We start from the raw sequence: 19,693 nt of genomic DNA, 5'->3' as shown, positions 1-19,693 counted from the left end.
CTGAACCTTTGCATCATACAACTGACTACTATATACTTTTTGGTTTTGATCACCTCTGAAATGTTTCTTCCTCTGTACTCACACAGTTACACTGAGTTTGGCTTAGGGGCCTAAGGTGGCAGTTTATTTTATGCTTTTTTTTTTTTTTTTTTAGACATAGTCTCACTGTGCTGCCTAGGCTGAAGTGCAGTGGTGCAGTTGTGGCTCACTACAACCTCCGTCTCCCAGGTTCAAGTGATTCTTGTGCCTCAGCCCTCCGAGTAGCTGGGATTACAGGAGCCCACCACCACGCCCATATGATTTTTTTGTATTTTTAGTAGAGACAGGGTTTCACCATCTTGGCCAGGCTGGTCTCAATCTCCTGACCTCAAGTGATCCACCTACCTCGGCTTCCCAAAGTGCTGAGATTACAGGCGTGAGCCACCGTGCCCAGCCTATGCTATCTTTTTCTAAGCAGTAGTTTAGTAAGTGCACACCATATCCTGGGCACTTTGTGGGAACTAGGGAATAGTTCTCAAGAAGCTCACAGTCTAGTGAGGGAGATAAGATGTGTAAAATGGTCAATTATAAATCAGAATGCCTAAGTTATATAATAAATATGAGTAAGAAGTACTTATAGGATCACAAAGGAAGCTGCAACTATCAAAACCCTTATACTTCTACCTGTTAGTTCTTTGAAATGTGCCACGCATCAGGTAGCTTAAAAGGCACACTGCCTGCCATCTTGTTGTCTGAATGGTGAAGGGTAAGGCATAGCGTTCAGGGAAGGAAGCTGCATATATTGAAGGGAAAAAGTGCTTTTTTAGGAGAGGAGGACTGTAGAGGTGGCACTGTAAAATTACTCACTGGAAAGGTGGGAGGGTTGCAAGAAGGCTAGGGGAACTCAAAGATAATATTCAGAACCTGTATGAAAGACTCTTTATTGCCCATATAGCTAGAGGTATCAGTGTTAGAGGGAGTGGATGGCAAAATAAAATAAAATATATAATCCCTGTGACCACATCCCAAGGTCAATACCTGACTAACAGCAGATGGGAGAACCTTGAAACTACTTATAGTTCTTTAAAGTTTCCAAACTGTGCCTGCTTAATCTTCCTTGCTGAGGTTGGTTTAATTTCTGAGGAGTAGGGTGTACCACCCCCAGTTCAATTGAGAGAGGGAAGCTGTCTGCTTCAAATCTATACTTGATTCCCCTTCCACTCTTTCTCTCGCCTAGTTCTGATGATATGCAGGTTTTGGTGGAAAGAATCTGTAGCTTTTCAGTTTGAATCAGCACTCTTCTTGAGGACCTCCTATGTGTGCAGGACCATGGGATGTTGGAGAGAAGGGTATGACATGCATTCTTTTCTGGTAATTTCTTTTGGGCAAATCAGATACAGACTCTGTGTCTGTATCTTCAAGAAATGTAAGTCTAATGGAAAACAGACATAAAGCACGATTGCCTATAATGCATGCCAGTGAAAGAAATGCTGTGCCCAAGACACAGGCAGATGCAGTGGAAGCACAAAGTGGTGTAACTAAATCCAGATTTGGTGATGGGGTGGAGTGTTGGATAAAGAGTGGCTTTGTGGTAGAGGTGACATTTGAGATGCACCACGAAGAGTGACTAGAATTTCTGTCAGAGAAAGGGTGGGCATTTTAGATTGAGGGAATAATAGGAGCAAAAGATAGAATGTGTACAAGAACATGGAGTATTTGAGGGCAGCCAGTTGCCTGATGTGTCTGGGGCAGGTTTATTGAGGAATGTAGTGGAAGGGTCACCAGGAAAGTAGTTAGTTTGGGGCTCAGTTGTGCTGTGATCCTCCAAGAATCGGAGAAGTCTTTCTTCTAATGGAATCGTGCAGGGGCGGGGTGGGCAGGCTGTTAGGAGGAATGATGGATCCACCCCAAGTCTGTGGAGAAGCCATGTTCTATTGGCCCTGCTCTCTTAGCCTGAAGCTCCAGGAGGGTAACCGAAGGATAGCCACATCAAGATTACAGGACTCAGTGGACTTGCTGGAGGCATAGGGGTTGAAGTACCTCTTGGAGGTGGTAGTGTGGGGTGGGGGAGGAGGCTTAGAAAACAGAAAAGTAGAAATAATGCCTCCTCCGCCAAACAAAACCAAAACCAAACAAACTACTAATAAACAAAAATACCCTGGTCGCTGACATTTCAGAAGGTTTGCTTAGGTTCCCAAGGGTAAGGGTTCCCTGTTGACTCTTAGAATAAGGACAAGATTTCTCACACCCTGTTAGTTCCCTGGAGGAAATGGTGTTTCACTTATCCTGTCTGATTTTTTTAGTTTCACAGTTTTTCTGTGGTTTAGGATTTAGGACTGGGACACCCTCCAGCTCCTAGAGGACCCTTATCAGTTGTATACTCACTTGAGCTTGCAGCTGCAATGACTATGTGTTCATTGTCTTTGCTGAACAAGATTAGTATTGACTGTGGCTGCTGAAAAAATGCTGAGAGAGGCCACTGTCTGCGCTGTCTAGCATCCCCACGTGGACTTGATAAAAGCAGGCCTCCTCCCCTATATCCTGTCTTGGCCACTGGCATCATGCCCACACCAGAAACCTGGGAGCCCTCATTTGTCTCTTCTCTCACCCCTTCACCTGCTCAGTCACCTAACTCAAAATTTTTTTGACTCTGACCCATCGTAACAAATGCATGTTACTTTGTGACCAGAATGGACACATGAATCTGATACAGAAGTTCTGTAAAATTTATCCTTATAATGTCAGGTAATCTCTGATATTTTCTTTTGTTTCTTTCTTTCTTTTTTTTTTTTTTTTTTTTAGTTTTAAGGAGCAAGGAGTTTAATAGGCAAGAAAGAAAAGAAAGAAGGGGGAAGGAAGAAAGAAGCAGCTCCCCTGTACAGAGACAGAGGGAGGAGGCTCCAAGGCTGAGAGAGGGAACCCCTGATATTTTCTATTCCATTTGAATTCATTTTAAACAGACATTGATAATGTCACCCACTAAATTGATTTCACTGAGTTGCAACCAACAGTACTTGAAAAGTGGTCTTTGGCCTCTAGCTTCCCTATCCCCATTCCATTGGCCTTCTCAGTACAAATGGGGTCAGTACACAAACAGACACACACACACGCACACACATGCACTCACTCCTTAATGTTCTCCATTGTTCTCAGAATAAAATACAAGTTTTGGCCGGGCCCAGTGGCTCACGGTTGTAATCCCAGCACTTTGGGAGGCTGAGGTGGGCAGATCACCTGAGGTTAGGAGTTCAAGACCAGCTTGGCCAACATGGTGAAACCCTGTCTCTAATAAAAATACAAAAAAATTATCCAGGCATGGTGGCGGGCACCTGTAGTCCCAGCTACTCAGGAGGCTAAAGCATGAGAATCGCTTGAACCTGGGAAGCTGAGGTTGCTGTGAGCCGAGATGGCGCCACGCACTCCGGCCTAGACGACAGAGCGAGACTTCATCTCGGAAAATAAAATAAAATAAAAGTTTCATATCATGGCATTCACATCTGATCAAATGTGACCTATGGTGCCTTTACTAGTCTCATTTGTTGCTATTTTAGGCACTATTACCATCACTACTCCCTTCTCTGCAAGAAAAAGCAAAACTATGTAGTAGAAATATCAAGTCTTCTGCACAAAGTTTCTTCTGCCTAGAAGGCCCTTCCCCCGCCTCTCCACTTGACAAATTCCTGTTTTTCCTTCAGTATCCAATTCAGGTATTATCTCTGCTTTGAAACCTTCCCTTCTGGGCAGGGAGATTTATGTAGTTGGAATTTGTGTTGGCATTGTAAGTGTTAACAGATTTGTAGAGACTCCCCTTTTCAAATTGTCATGGAGCACTAGTACCTTCTCAGTGCAGAAATTAATTTTACAAAATGGAATGGAACAAATAAAATTGGAACATACCTATGATGGAGGTACGATGGAGAGGGAGTAAAATGTAGTCTGTTTTTAAAGATTATTTTAAAGTCAGGTATTTCATAAATACAATTACTACTAGGTGTTTTATGTATATTATCATTTATTTATTTACATACATTATTTCACACATGCTCACAACTACTTTATTCTCATTTTACATATGAGGGATCAGGGGCTTAGAGAAGTCAGAGAACTTTCCCAAAGAAGTAGTTAGAATGTGGTGGAGAGGAAATTCAGGTGCTGGTCTGGCTAACTGAAAGCATTAAGTTGCTTTCCTCTTTAGTAATTATAACTACTAAAGTAACTAATTAAATACTTAAATTAATGTTAATTAATACTAAAGTACCTACTTAAACATAGATTCATAAAATTATGGCATTTATTCTCTTGATTGAAGGTACTGTGTACAGCAGACAAATTTATTTCGTGCCCTCTTAAGGCTTAGGTGAGAAGAGAGACATTAAACAAATCACTAATAAAATACAACTGTGATAGGTGCAATGAGAGGATGTGACAAGGCTATGTGGGAGAAGCTGGGAACCTCATTTAGTTTAGGGGTGGGTCAGTCAGGGAAGGCTTCACTGAAGAGGACATTTACATTGACACCTAAAGGGTGAGTAGAAGTTAGCAAGTGAAAGAGTGGATGAAAAAGCCTTCCAGGTAGAGGGATCTAGTGGTTTTCAAACTTTTTATCAGCAGAGTCCTTTTTAAAAATGAAATCTTATGCTCAGCCACCATATATGATAAATATGATGAAAGGAGGTGGGAATGACCTGCTTGCTTCACATCTTCACAACATGTCCACTGAAAAAAGACTGTTAAGTAGTTCCATGGAAACTCAGAATGTAGTTTAAAAACTACAGATCTAGTCCAATTCTCTCATTTTGCAAATGGGGAGACAGTTTTGGCAATTTTAAGGAATTGTCTCAGGCCACTTACTCAGTAGTGGCTGACCCGAGACAACTCTGAAGTTAACTATGGTTACCTGCCCCTTCTAAACACTTTGCTTCCTTTCTGATTGTCCTATTTGGTGGTCAGGGGATAGGGGTCTCTTCCCCTGAGTATGAACATGTCATATGAGCACAGCAAACATTTACGGATCACCAGCTGTATGATGGGCCCCGTGTTTCTTGGCGCTCACTATCTGTGTCCTGGGAGAGGCCACAGGTAAACCTGAAACTAGCACAGGGTGATGTACAGATTATATGGGATCACGGGGGAAGGGGGGTTGCCTGGGGATGGTCAAGGAAAGCAGTTGCCTTGGCCTTCTGGGGGCCAGAACAGACTATATGGGATTGAGGAGTAATTAAGAGGCAAAGAAGTTATTGTAAACTACTTTTCAAGAAGTTTCAAATGAGGGGATGATCGCTTGAGGGAAAAACAGTTCAGAAGGGAAGCATTAATTGTTTTTTATTTTAAAATGGGGAAACACTGGAATGATTTCATAAGCTGAAGGGAAGAAGCCTTTGGGAAAGAAAAGAAGGAATTAAAGTGTGGGGATGGGAAAGGGTTAGAAAGCAGACTGGTGCCAGTCTCAGCGCAGCCAGAGAACTGCACCGGCAGACACTGGCAGCCTCTGCAGAGGCTCTTTAAAACCACCACAGCACTTTTGATGTAGCTGTAGGGCATTCAGGCTTCTGCTGGATTCCAGCAACCCCAGGCCTGCTATACATGGTGAGCCCTGGCCATGTGCACATCCTCTTTTGCCCTCCCCCAGCCAGAGTTGCAGTGTTCAAACACCCACGCTTGTAGCTTTCTTGCCCAAACCAAAGGCCTATGCAGCAGCATTTTACCAGCATTGCATACCCTAAGTGCGCTGATACCTGGTACCCAGGGGCTTATTCTTTATAGTGGATCTGACAGGCAAGCTGCAGGCCAGGTGTAGCTCTTGGAGGAGGCTCGTTGTCAGGTGAGATGGCTTCAGGAAGTGCCTCACCCAACTTGTCTGTTTGCCCACAGGCTGTCCTGTGGCCCTCATGCTCCCCCCAGAAGGGTTAGGCTTCATAGTGAGGGAGTTTGGGAAACCAGGTGGAGATAGCCATGTACACAGCCCTGGAAAAGGGTCAGTGTGCCAGCTTACAGATCAATAAACTCATTCATTAGCACACTGCTGGGGCTTGAGTGTAGCCATCTAGGCTCTGCTTTCTTGGCCTCAGCTGGTGACAGAGTAAGGGAAACATGCTGTGTGAAAGTCCCCTTTGGGATTCCTTCATAGCAGCCAGAGTGACGAACCTGCCCAAGTGCCTGCTAGTCTTTATTAATTCAAAATCAGATCTACTCTAAGCAGCTTATAAACTATCATGTGGGAGAAACAAGGCCAAAACACAACTGGCATTGTCAGAGGGCCCAAGCAGAGTGAGCGAGACAGGATGCTCAGAGCTGCCAGTACCTGGCAGGAGGTCAGCATCAGGAATAACAAGAATCTTCCCTCCCAGATTTAGGCTGACAGGAGGAAATCATAGCTAGGAAACTCTCCTATTCCTTTGAACTCTACAGACAGTGTTGTTGCCTTCCGATTTGTCTTATTTAGCAGGAAGAGGTTCTTGGTGCTATCACAGAATGGGAGAAAAAGGGGGGAGCTCAGGCTTCATTCCAGCTTCTTTCTTCTCTACCGTGCAACCTTAAGTTACTTAACCTCTTCAGAGTGTGTTTTCTTTTCTGTGAAACGGGGACAGTTATAATGTCCTGAGAGACAGAATGAATGTAAATGCATCTTACAGTGACAAGTCTCACATTACAGAACATAGTAAATGGTAGTAATCATTATTATTATTTTCTATAAGGCAGGATTGATAGCTTCAGCCCTTTATTATTTGATATTCCTAGTGAGTGACATTTTCTTCCTTTGTCCCGTCTCCATGCTTGCCTTTTAGAGATATTTGCACGCCAGGTTTGAACACTCCTTTTTTTCTTTACTTTGCTAGCTGCGTTATTTGCCTTTCTTATATGTAAAAGAGATCAGTATTATGTATGAGCCACTGGAATCACTGAGAGACAAGGATAGTACTGTGAAGCTTAAAACCTAAATAATAAATTGTGGGTTTAAGAACATCATCAGGCCAGGCGCGGTGGCTCACGCCTGTAATCCCAGCACTTTGGGAGGCTGAGGCAGGTGGATCACTTGAGGTCGGGAGTTTGAGACCAGCCTGACCAACATGGTGAAACCGTGTCTGTACTAAAAATACAAAAATTGGCTGGGTGTGGTGGTGGGTGCCTGTAATCCCAGCTACTCAGGAAGCTGAGGCAGGAGAATCTCTTGAACCCGGGAGGCAGAGATTGCAGTGAGCCAATATCATGCCACTGCACTCCAGCCTGGGTGACACATCAAACTTGGGAGGAGCAACTTGAGTTTGATCCTAAACAGAGTAGTAGCTTCTGCACAGATTCAGTCTATATTCAGAGTAGGTGCTTAGTAATACTTGTTCAATAAATGATTAGTTAATTAATATAGGAATCTTTTTCATTACAAGATTTTTTTAAGTTTATTTTGCATTTTTTTTGTTTCCTGGATACAGATTGGCACACTGATACTTTGCTTTTTTTTTTTTTTTTTTTTTTTTGAGACAGAGTCTCTCACTGTTGATGCCAAGGCTGGAGTGCAATGGCACAGTCTCGGCTCACTGCTACCTCTGCCTCCCAAGTTCAAGCGATTCTCCTGCCTCAGCCTCCGGAGTAGCTGGGACCACAGGCACCTGCCACCATGCCCAGCTAATTTTTGTATTTTTAGTAGAGATGAGGTTTCACCAGGTTGGCCAGGCTGGTCTCAAACTCCTGACCTCAGGTGATCCACCCTCCTCGGCCTCCCAAAGTGCTGGGATTACAGGCATGAGCCAGCGCGCCCAGCCTGCATTCTTAAGGGCAGTTTTTATTTATTATGTTTTAGCATGGAAGTGTGTTATCCCCTCCATAATGCCCCCTGCCCTTCTCAATTCCCCCTCGTTTCCAACAGAGGTCTGACATTATGACTTTAAATCAGTGGCAAAATGTAATTTGACCTCTCAATGTTAAATTTAGGCATTTATTATGAGGGTATACACCCATGATGTGAGTTAAAGTGAGCTGTATTGTGAAATAGCTTACTTAATGACTCAACGTTATTGTTATATGGTCAGAGTCTGTGACAGGTGTTGGCTTTGTTTTGCAGTGGGTAGCAGGATCTTCAAGTCTTTTATTTTTATTAACCATTTTGACTTTGTTTTATTTATTTTTCTTTGTTTCTTTTTCTTTCTTTTTTTTTTTTTTTTTGAGACAAGGTCTCACTGTGTCTCCCAGGCTGGAGTACAATGGCACTACCATAGCTCACTGCAACCTCCACCTCTGGGGCTCAAGCGATTCTCCTGCCTCAGACTGTAGCTGAGACTACAGTCATGCACCACCGTGCCCCACTAATTTTTTTTTGAGACGGAGTCTTGCTCTGTTGCCAGGCTGGAGTGCAATGGTGTGAACTCGGCTCACTGCAACCTCCGCCTCCCTGGTTCAAGCCATTCTCCTGCCTCGGCCTCCCAAGCAGCTGGGATTACAGGCATGTGCCACCACGCCCAGCTAATTTTGCATTTTTAGTAGAGATGTGGTTTCACCATGTTGGTCAAGCTGGTCTTGAACTCCTGACCTCAGGTGATCTGCCTGCCTCAGCCTCCCAAAGTGCTGGGATTACAGGCGTGAGCCACTGCGCCCGGCCTAATTTTTGTATTTTTTATAGAGATGAGGTTTCGTCATGTTGTCCAGGCTGGTCTCGAACTCCGGAGCTCAGGTGATCTGCCTGCCTCGACCTCTCAAAGTGCTGGGATTACAGGCATGAGCCACTGCACCTGGCCTATTTAGTTTTCTTTTACCATTCAACATACTTCAGTCTTTTCTGAATGATTCAGGATGTCCTGATAACTCTTAACTGTATTTTGCCAGACTATTGTCTCTGAGTTGTACCTGTTGAACCTCAATTGCTCTGTTATTTTTTTCGTGTCTCTATTAAATAAATTTTTCATTTCCTCTTTTCCTACTAGGCTGCTAGCAGTTACTCTTGTTATAGGTATGCTTGCCTCCAGTTAGCCAGTCTTTTTTTTTCCTGATGTGCTATTTCTAATATGATGCTAGTTTTGAAGCTTAAATTACTGTACTTGTGAGGACTGAATGAAAAATAGGGTCAATAGATCCTGGAGGGTTTGTTCTAATCATTAAAGGAGGCAAAAACAACAAAAACCTTCGTAGGACTCTGGGATCAGATTGTCTAGGTTCAGATCTCAGTTTTAGCACTTACTAGGTTTGTATCATTGGGCAAGTTACTTCTCTAGGACTCAATTTTCTCACCTGTGAAATGAGGACAGTAAGGACACAAGTATCAGCTTCATGGAGTTGTTGTAAAAATTAGGAAAAATAATGCATCCAAATCACTTGGCATAGTGCCTGGCACGTAGTTGTGTTAACTGTTAATTATAGCACTTGTCCGTTTTTGCTATTTAAGTTTTTTTTTTCTTTCTTTCTTCCTGTTAGTCATTTTTAGAATAGGAAAAATTGCCAGATAAACTAACTGGTTGAATTCAGCGTCAATCAGATGTCACCCTAATAATGGTCAAATAAGTTAGTAGTAATCTATTATCTCTGGTGTCCAAAAGTTTTCACTGGGGTGTCTGTGGATGAAACACAGAGTTGGAGTTGAGATTTCTTCACTTCCATCCTTCCATTCCAATATCAGATGTAATTTTTTCTTAATGTCTGAGAATAATAGTATGTTGGCCTGGTGTGGTGGCTCACGCCTATAATCCCAGCACTTTGGGAGGCCAAGGCAGGAGGATCACTTGAGCTTATGAGTTTGAGACCAGCCTCGGCAACGTGGCGAAACCCCATCTCATCTCTACAGAAAATACAAAAGTTAGCTGGGCATGGTGGTGCATGCTTGAAGTCCCAGCTACTTGGGAGGCTGAGGTAGAAGGATGGCTTGAGCCCAGGAGGCAGAGGTTGCAGTGAGCTGAGATTATACCACTGCTTTCCAGCCTGGGTGATAGAGCCAGACCTTGTTTCAAAAAAAAAAAAAAAAAGATAGTATGTGTAGAATGCTAGCACAAAAGGGAAGATAAAGAAGGTACCATTTATGTAAAAAGAATACACACATACATAAACTTGTGTGTGTATAGGTTATATGTGGAAGGATTCCTAAGAAACTAGTAGCTGAGGTTGTCTTTGGGAGAGGAACGGGTTGGCAGGGGATGAAGGTAGGAAGGAGACTTGGTTTTTATTACTATGTACATGTATTACCTTTTAAAAACAGTTATCAAACAAGCGTAAATTGAATGTGATAGGCTTCAAGGTCAGGTGGCCTAAGAATTGGTATTCAGCTGCTTGTCTGGACATTCCAGGCAGCTGACTTCTTAAGATTTTGGCCCAGCCTTCAGCTCTGCTTTTCCCTTGAAGAGGATAAACAAAAAAGTCCTTCACAACAGGACTGCTTTTCTGTCCTTAACTACCTAGTAAATTCGATTCACAAACTCAGGGAAAGAATTAGGTGAGCATTTAATTAGCTGAATGTTGTACTGGTGATTGGACAGCCCTGTGGATCAGAACCTTATTTTCCCAGTAGAACTCATGGGAATCTTCAGTAACTTCCGGTTGATAGGAAGACTGATTCTTTGCCTTTGGTCTTACAACTTTATGTGTAATGAGATTTGCGGTAGAGTTTTATATAGCATTTCTTCAAATTACATTGTTCTGTTCAATGTCACTTTGTTATAACAGTGATGAGGAGAAAAATAACAATTCCCATCTGGGGCCACTGCCTGTGTGGAGTTTGCATGTTCTGTCCCTGTCTAGGTGGGTTTTCTCTGGGTCCTCCTGTTTCCTTCCACATCCCAAAGATGTGCACAGAAGGTGAATTAGCATGTCTAAATTGTCCTTATTGGAGTGGGTGTGGGTGTGAGTGTGCCGTGCCATAATGTATGCATAGCTCACATTATTTCAGTGTTTAATATTGGAAGTCTTTTGGGTCTTTATTTAGAAGTTTAGTGATGTTTTTGTGACCAGAAATATACTGTAGGAATATAACTCTTGTTTATGTCACTTAGCCTATGGTAAAATAGGTTTCGTAAGTTGTTAAGCTTACAGTTACAGTTTCCAAGAATCTATCTGTGATGTTAAATGAAGAGTTACAATATTTAGTGTTCTGCATCAATAAAAGGTCTGTTGAACTTATTGGGTCCAATGTTTTAGGAGTAATGAGAATTTGCCCTCCTTTGGCTGGGCATGGTGGCTCACGCCTGTAATCCCAGCACTTTGGGAGGCCAAGGTGGGCGGATCAAGAGGTCAGGAGATGAGACCATCCTGGCTAACACTGTGAAACCCCGTCTCCACTAAAAATACAAAAAATTAGCCCGGTGTGGTGGCGGGCACCTGTAGTCCCAGCTACTCGGGAGGCTGAGGCAGAAGAATGGCGTGAACCCAGGAGGCGGAGCTTGCAGTGAGCCAAGATTGCGTCAGTGCACTCCAGCCTGGGCGACAGAGCAAGACTCTGTCTCAAAACAAAAAAAAAAAAAGAGAATTTGCCCTCCTTTTATTTTCAGGTGTCAATCCATGTCTTCTAAACTGTTAGTATCAGCAAAATTAGGTACAGGTTATAACAATCTTTGCTGGTTGTATATTTCTCAAAAGGCAGGTATAATCTTTAGTTTATATTTCTGGATCAGAATATTCTGAAAATGATGTTCTATTAAAGTAAATTCAGTCATGTGTTGCTTAATGATGGGGATCTGTCCTGAGAAATGCATCATTAGGTATTTCATTATTGTGTGGGCATCATAGAGTATACTTACACAAACCTCGGTGGTATAGCCTGTTATATACCTAGGATGTATGGTATGACCTATGGCTCCTAGGCTATAGACCTATACAACTTATTACTGTTCTGAATACTGTAAGCAGTTATAATGGTAAGTATTTGTGTATCTAAATGTATCTAAACATACAAAAAGTACAGTAAAAATGCAATATAAGAAATAAAAAATGGTATTCTTGTATAAGATATTTACCATAAATACAGCTTGCAGAACTAGAAGTTGCTCTGGATGAGTCAGATATTACTGTATACTACTGTAGACTTTATAAACACTGTACACTTAAGCTAAGCTAATTTTTTTTTTTTTAGACAGGGTCTCACTCTGTCATCCAGGCCAGAATTTAGTGGTACAATCACAACTCAATGCAGCCTTGACCTCCCAGGCTGAAGCAATCCTCCCATATCAGCCTCCTTAGTAGCTGGGACTACAGACGCTTACCACCACATTTGGCTAATTTTTACGTTTTTTTGTAGAGGTGGGGTCTTACTTTGTTACCTTGGTTGGTCTTGAACTCTTGGCCTCAAGCAATCCTCCCACCTTGGCCTCCCAAAGTGCTGGGATTACAGGTGTGAGCCACCACACCTGGCCATAGGCTACATTAAATTTATTTTGAAATTTTTTCTTCAATAATAAATTAAACTTAACTTACTGTAACATTTATACTTTATAAACTTTTTAATTTAAATTTTTTTTTTTTTTTTTAGGTAGAGTCTTGCTCTGTTGCCCAGGCTGGAGTACAGTGGCATGATCTCAGCTCACTGAAACCTCCACCTCCGGGTTCAAGTGATTCTCCTGCCTCAGCCTCCTGAGTAGCTGGGACTACAGGCACGCGCCACCATGCCTGGTTAATTTTTGTATTTTTAGTAGAGATAGGGTTTCACCATGTTGGCCAGGCTGGTCTCCTAACCTCAAGTAATCCACCTGCCTCGGCCTCCCAAAGTGCTGGAATTACAGGTGTGAGCCACTGTTCCCAACCTAAAAAAACTTTTTGACTCTGACATTTTAAGCTTAAAGCACACATTATATAGCTTTCTTTATATTGTTATTCTGTAACCTTTTTTCTGTTTTTTTAAATTTTATTCTACTTTTAAAAATTTTGTTAAAAATTAAGACATAGAGCTGGGCGCAGTGGCTCGTGCCTGTATCTTAGCACTTTGGGAGGCCAAGGTAGATCACTTGAGCCCAGGAATTCGAGACCAGCCTGGGCAAGATGGTGAGACCCTGCCTCTACAAAAAAATTTAAAAAATTAGCCGGGCTCAGTGGCGTGCACCCGTAGTCCTAGCTACTTAGGATGCCGAGGCAGGAGGATAGCTTGAGTCCAAGAGTTTGAGGTTACAGTGAGATGTGATTGTATCACAGCACTGCAGTCTGGGTGACAAAGTGAGAACCTGTCTCTGAAAAAAACAAAAACCAAACTGTGACTCAAACACTCACATTAGCCTAGGCCTCTACCAGGTCAGGATCATCTAGACCAGGTGATAGGAATTTTTCTGCTCCATTATAATCTTATGGGACCACTCTCATATGTGTGGTCTCTTGCTGACCAAAATTGTTATGTGGTACATGACTATATTCACCAAATTTGTCCTTTTCCAGCCCTGGTGATATTTGTATATTTAATTATAGGATTGAGGCTGGGAAGAAAAGGTTAACTTCTCAGAGACTCATCTCCGGTCAGTGCTAAGGAGCGAATCTTCTTCCAGTAGCTGGCCACTCTCTGCTGAGCAAAGTCCATACTTTTTCTTAGCAAGTCATTTCAAAGCTCTTCATGACCTTTCTGGCTTCAGTTTTCTGCATCCTATACCCTGTCCTCCCCACAATCTAGGTATTCATTGTTACCTTAACATCCTGAACTCTTCCATGGCCCTGCCTTTGCTTAGAACATTCCATCAGCTGGACATTCCCTTTGTCTTTTGTCTCAACCTCTTCAACTTCAGCTTATCCTTCTAAGATCCAGGTACAGTGTTTCATTTTCCATGAAGCTTTCTCTGATTCTACTCAGCCAAAAGTCATCCTTTTAAACTTCATTGCACTCTTCTCTTGGGAGATCTATGGCATTCCCTTTTAGGGCTGTTGATGTGTGGTGTACCTTATCTCCCCTAGAGGAAACTGCTCCATAAAAGCTGGGTTCTAGTTTTAGCCATCACTATAATCCCCACAGCATCCAACCATACACCTTCACACAATAGGAACTCCTGTGTTCATTGAGTGAATTGTCAGTCACCATTTTGAAAGTGTCTTCATTTTGCCTTATCTTTTCAACTGGATAACCATTTGAGCCCACTGTTATCTGTAAGGGCTATAGAACAAACTGTGTTGTGAAACAAAAAACACTTCATCCCATGTTGATACAGTTAGAAAGTTTATGGTCTGAGAAAATCTGTGCCTTTTAAACCTCAGAGGGCAGGTGTATTAACAAACTACAGAATTTTCAAATAAATGAAGAATTCCATTACCTCACTATTGCTGTTGATGAATTGGCCTCTGACAACACTTAAGCATCAAAACACACAGCGTCTTTTCAGGTGAGAGGCTGACATGAGGGATTTGATTAACTTTAGAAAAGTCTTATGAAAAAGGACTGTTGAACTTTTCCCCAGTTTGTTTCTGCTGTGGAATAGGCTCTGTGTCCTATAAAGTAGCCAAATCTTTTTTCTGTGACCTGTTTCATTATTGTCACAAAGTGCTTTTTTTTTTTTTTTTTGAGATGGAGTCTTGCCCTGTTGCCCAGGCTGGAGTGCAGTGGCGTGATCTTTGACTTACTGCAATCTCTGCCTCCCGGGTTCAAGAGATTCTCCTGCCGCAGTGTCTCGAGTAGCTGGGATTACAGGCACGCGCCACCATACCTGGCTAATTTTTGTATTTTTAGTAGAAACAGGGTTTCACCACATTGGCCAGGCTGGTCTTGAACTCTTGACCTCAAGTAATCCGCTCACCTCAGCCTCCCAAAGTGCTGGGATTACAGGTGTAAGCCACCACACCCAGCCTACAAAGTGCTATTTCTTAAGCACTACCTGGGGTCAGAGGTTACAGGTTTTTTGTTTTTTTGTTTTGAGACAAGAGTCTTGCTCTTTTGACCAGGCTGGAGTGCAGTGGCGCGATCTTGGCCCACTGCAACCTCCACCCCTCGGGTTCAAGCAATTGTCCTGTCTCAGCTTCCCAAGTAGCTGGGACTACAGGTTTGTACCACCACGCCCGGTTAATTTTTTGTATTTTTGGGAGAGACGGGGTTTCACCATGTTGGTCAGGCTGGTCTTGAACTCCTGACCTCAGGTGATCCACCCACCTCGGCCTCCCAAAGTGTTGGAATTACAGGTGTGAGCCACTGCGCCTGGCCTACAAGTTTCGAATCACATCAGTAAATCTCATTTGGGATCATGTAGTCAGCCTTCTTTTTATTTTCAGATGGAATCTCACTCTGTCGCCCAGGCTGGAGTGCAGTGGTGCGATCTTGGCACTGCAACCTCTGCCTCCTGGGTTCAAGCATTTCTCCTGCCTCAGCCTCTGGAGTAGCTGGATTACAAGCGCACACCACCACACCTGGCTAATTTTTGTGTTTTTGGTAGAGATGGGGTTTCACCATGTTGGACAGGTTGGTCTCGAACTCCTGACCTCAGGTGATCCACTGGCCTTGGCCTCCCAAAGTGCTAGGATTACAGGTGTGAGCCACTGCACCTGGTCATGTTGTCAACCTTCTGTCAGATACCCGAGTTCCCACCAAGCGTTGATTCACTTCTCCGTGACAGACAAATTCTCTACTTTTTGAGGTTGTCAGTTTGATTATTCAAATCTTCAGACACTCAGGCCAGGCACAGTGGCTCATGCCTATAATCCCAGGGCTTTGGGAGGCCGAGGTGGAAGGATGGCTTGAGTCCAAGAATTTGAAGTTACAGTGGGCTATGATTGTGTCACTGCACTCCAGCCTGGGTGACAGAGCAAGACCCTGTCTCTAAAATTAAAAAAACAAAACTTTAGACATTCCTGTTAGTAAGCTTTTAATTTTGCTGTTCAATGTTGATTATATCTTTCTCCCTCTATGGCCTGCCCATTGGTTCTGATTCTAACTCTTTGGTTTTGTTTGTTTGTTTGTTTGTTTGTTTGTTGAGACAGGGTCTCACTCCATTACCCAGACTGGAGTTCAGTGGCACCATCGTGGCTCACTGCAGCCTTGACCTTTTGGGAGGGATCCTCCTGCCTCAGCCTCCTGAGTAGCTGGGACTACAGGCATGCACCACGGCACCTGACTAATTTTCATATTTTTTGTAGAATCGGGGTCCAACTGTGTTGCCCAGGTTGGTCTCAAACATCTGGGCTCAAGTGATTTTCCTGCCTTGGCCTCCCAAATGCTGGGATTATAGGTGTGAACCACCAGGCCTGACCTGATTCTCTTTGGTAAACAGTTTAATTGCTTTTCTACAATGTTTAAGTCAACTTTCCTGTTTTTCTCCAGGTTAAATATCTTCTGGTCTTCTTAAGATACTTCTAGTCCTCCTATTTCTTAAAATGTAATGTTCAAAACTGTGGATAGTATTCCAAATACGTTCTGGTTTGTGTTGAGTATAACAAAAGTCTCACTTTACACATTGATGGTATTATATTTGCATTACTGTATCTAAAATCACATTAATTTGGAGGGCAGCATTGTTATCCTCTTGATTCCTACTGAGCACATAATATCAACTTAAGCCTATAAGTCTTTTCACACATAGGTAGGCATGACTTATCTGTGCTGTACTTTTACAGTTGTTCTTTTAGACTCAAATGCAGGATCCTGAATTTATCCCCATTAGGTTGATCTTGTTAGATTCAACCTGTTGAAGTATTTTTGGTTCATGGTTGGATCATCTGGCACATTTGTTCTCCTGCCCAGCTTCTTGTCACCTGCAAATTTGGTAAATATGTTTTCTTTTCTCCATCTTAGTTATTAACAAAGATGTTGAGACAGGCCAAGCTGTAATCATTTCATTGTACCATTACTATTGCTGGTAGATTTTAATTGGCAAGATCAATTGTGTATGGATATAGAATTGTCAGGTTGGATTAACTATTCCATAATTATAACAGGAATTGTCTTTTAGGTGAGTAATCCTATTGTAGCTGCTTAATAAGCTATTTAATGAGAAACAATAAAAATTATAGTCTGCCAGGCATGGTGCCTCACACCTGTAATCCCCACACTTCGGGAGGCTAAAGTGGGAGGAAGTCTTGAGCCCAGGAGTTTGAGATCTGCTTGCACAGCAAATTGAGACCCCCGTCTCTACAAAAAAATAAAAAATTAGCTGGGCGTGGTGGTGCACACCTGTAATCTCAGCTACACAGGAGGCTGAGGCAGGAGGCTCCCTTAAGCCCGGGAGGTTGAGGCTACAGTGAGCTGTGTTTGTGCCACTGCATTCCGGCCTGGGTGACAGAATGAGACCCTGTCTCAAAAAGGAGAAAACAAGCACTTTGGGAGGCTGAGGCGGGTGGATCACAGGTCAGGAGATTGAGACCATCCTGGCTAACACAGTGAAACCCCATATCTATTAAAAATACAAAAACATTAGCTGGGTGTGGTGGCAGGCGCCTGTAGTCCCAGCTGCTTGGGAGGCTGAAGCAGGAGAATGGCAAGAACCCGGGAGGCAGAGCTTGTAGTGAGCCGAGATGGCGCCACTGCACTCCAGCCTGGGTGACAGAGCGAGACTCCGTCTCAAAAAACAAAACAAAACAAAACAAAACAAAACAAAAAAGAATGAACTATGGTCATGCATGAAATGAGGAACTAGTTTGAAAAGTTGGGGACCCTGCTTATATTCCTATATATAATAAAATATAATTCTTGTATGTTTAGATTATGTGAGGTCTTGATTATTCAGAAAGCCCTCTGGACTGACTAGAGGCAAATGTGGTATAGGGGAAAAGGTCCTAAACTTGGCCCTAACCATAGGTGTTTGTTCATTTATTTATTCAGCAAGTGTATATTGAGTGCCTACTGTACTTAAGCCCTGGAAATAAAATGTTGACAAAAACCAGATTTGATCTTTATCTTCAGTAGAGCTTACCTTCTAGTGGGGGAAACAATTGGATAATTACACAAATGTAATCATAATACTTTCTGTGATCTGTGTTCTGGACAGGTGTTGTCCAACAGAAATATAACGCAAGCCATGTATGTAATTTAAAATTTTCTAGTATCTACATTTGAAAAAGTAAAAAGAAACAAATTTTAATAGATTGTATGTAACCCAGTATATCTGAAATATTATTTCAACATGAAAGCAGTATTAAAAATTGAGATATTTTATATTCTTTTTCTTCAACTAAATCTTTGAAATCTTAAACTTGTGCCACATCTCAGCTTTGACTAGCTGTATTTAAAATGCTCAATAGCCACAGGGGAGCCACTGTATTGGACAGCACAGTTCTATACCCAGTTTTACGGATATAAAACTGGTGTTGGGCAAATTACTTTCCGTCTTTAGGACTCCTGCTTTCATCAGTAAAATGAAGGATTCAGACTTGTTTGTCTTCTAACAAAAAAATGTGGTTCCCTCCAGGTATGAGGGAGCCTTCAGAGGTGCCCTAAATAATCTGTATCTCGATCTGGGTGGTGCTTGTGTGGGTGTATGTATAATACATAAAAATTTATCAGGCAGTACACTTAAGATTTATACACTTAATAGTATCTTTGTTATATCTCAGTAAAAGTTTAAAAAAAAAAAGTTCACTTCCAGTTTGATTTGGTGCCCTTTGCTAAACTCACTCTTAGATGAGGAGACCTTCAGTGGAAATGTGTGATGTGAAAAATGCAAACAGCCAAGACTTTTTTTGTCTTCTTCCCACCCAGGATGTGTCTAGTCCGAATGAAGCAGGAAGGCCGGAGTGGGAAGTACATGTGTCGTATCATAGTTCATTTTATGTGGGAGGATGTTCAGCAGCGCGGCAGAGTCATGGGGGTAAGTGAGTGCTGTCAGATGCTTGTCCTGGACAATTCCAGAGAAGGGTTTGAGTTTGGAGTTTTATCTGTTGTAAAATGGCCCTGCTTTTAGATTTCTGTGAAATGCTGCCTAATATCAAGTGGCAGTTCCGCTAAAGTCACTTTTTCTGCCTCTGTGGAAACTAATACTCCACAGATACTTTATGTGTTTGTACACATTATAGTGATTTGTCAGTGTGAAGTCATCCTGTATGGAGATGGGATTGTAAAGCCCAAATCGTGGTGATAGGAGGGATGGATTTGGTGAATGGAGGGAATCAAATGATAATCCAGTTAAGGATACTATACCTTTGACACCAGTTCAATATTTGAACCAGTCCTTCTATAAATTAGTTCTGATGGGAGGCCCTGGTATGGGGCCTGCACTGTCTTCAGGAACTGAAACTCAAGCTCCTTGATCACTGGCAACCTAGAAGAGTCTGGTAAGATACCTCCTGAAAATGTACATTAGTACATTTAATAATTAACCTGAGAAAGGGGAATATATTATATATATATATATGTCACATGGGATGTAATGACAATAGAAAAATGAAACCAAAACACTAGAATATAGCTGGTTATACAGATCATAGTGTGTCCGGAGTTGGTTCCTTGTGGTGGGTTCTTGGTCTCGCGACTTCAAGAATGAAGCCGCAGACCTTCGCTGTGAGTGTTACAGCTCTTAAAGATGGTGTGTCCGGAGTTTCTTCCTTCCAGTGGGTTCGTGGTCTCGCTGACTTCAAGAATGAAGCCGCAGACCTTCACAGCAAGTGTTACCAGCTCTTAAAGGTGGTGCGGACCCAAAGAGTGAGCAGCAGCAAGATTTATGGTGAAGACCGAAAGAACAAAGCTTCCACAGTGTGGAAGGGGGACCTGAGCGGGTTGCCACTGCTGGCTAGGGTGGCCAGCTTTTATTCCCTTATTTGTCCCTGCCCATGTCTGCTGATTGGTCCATTTTACAGAGTGCTGATTGGTGCGTTTTTACAGAGTGCTGATTGGTGCATTTACAATCCTGTAGCTAGACAC

The 19,693-nt window shown here is 42.5% G+C and overlaps 1 protein-coding gene across 9 annotated transcripts in view; it reads left to right on the top strand.

The window, feature by feature from the left end:
• The window catches only part of UQCC1 (ubiquinol-cytochrome c reductase complex assembly factor 1), a 109,396-nt gene that overhangs the window by 46,166 nt on the left and 43,537 nt on the right, over nt 1–19,693 (top strand). For all 9 annotated transcript variants that reach the window (NM_001184977.2, XM_011528878.3, NM_199487.3 and 6 more), the window contains one exon: nt 18,536–18,644. In NM_001184977.2, coding sequence (NP_001171906.1) covers nt 18,536–18,644 — 109 coding nt within the window. The remainder of the gene's footprint in view (nt 1–18,535; nt 18,645–19,693) is intronic.

Source organism: Homo sapiens, chromosome 20, assembly GCF_000001405.40.
Source record: "Homo sapiens chromosome 20, GRCh38.p14 Primary Assembly".
Classification (NCBI taxonomy): Eukaryota; Metazoa; Chordata; class Mammalia; order Primates; family Hominidae; genus Homo; species Homo sapiens.
The sequence above is the reverse complement of the archived record's forward strand: the minus strand, read 5'-3'. Positions and strand labels throughout refer to the sequence as shown.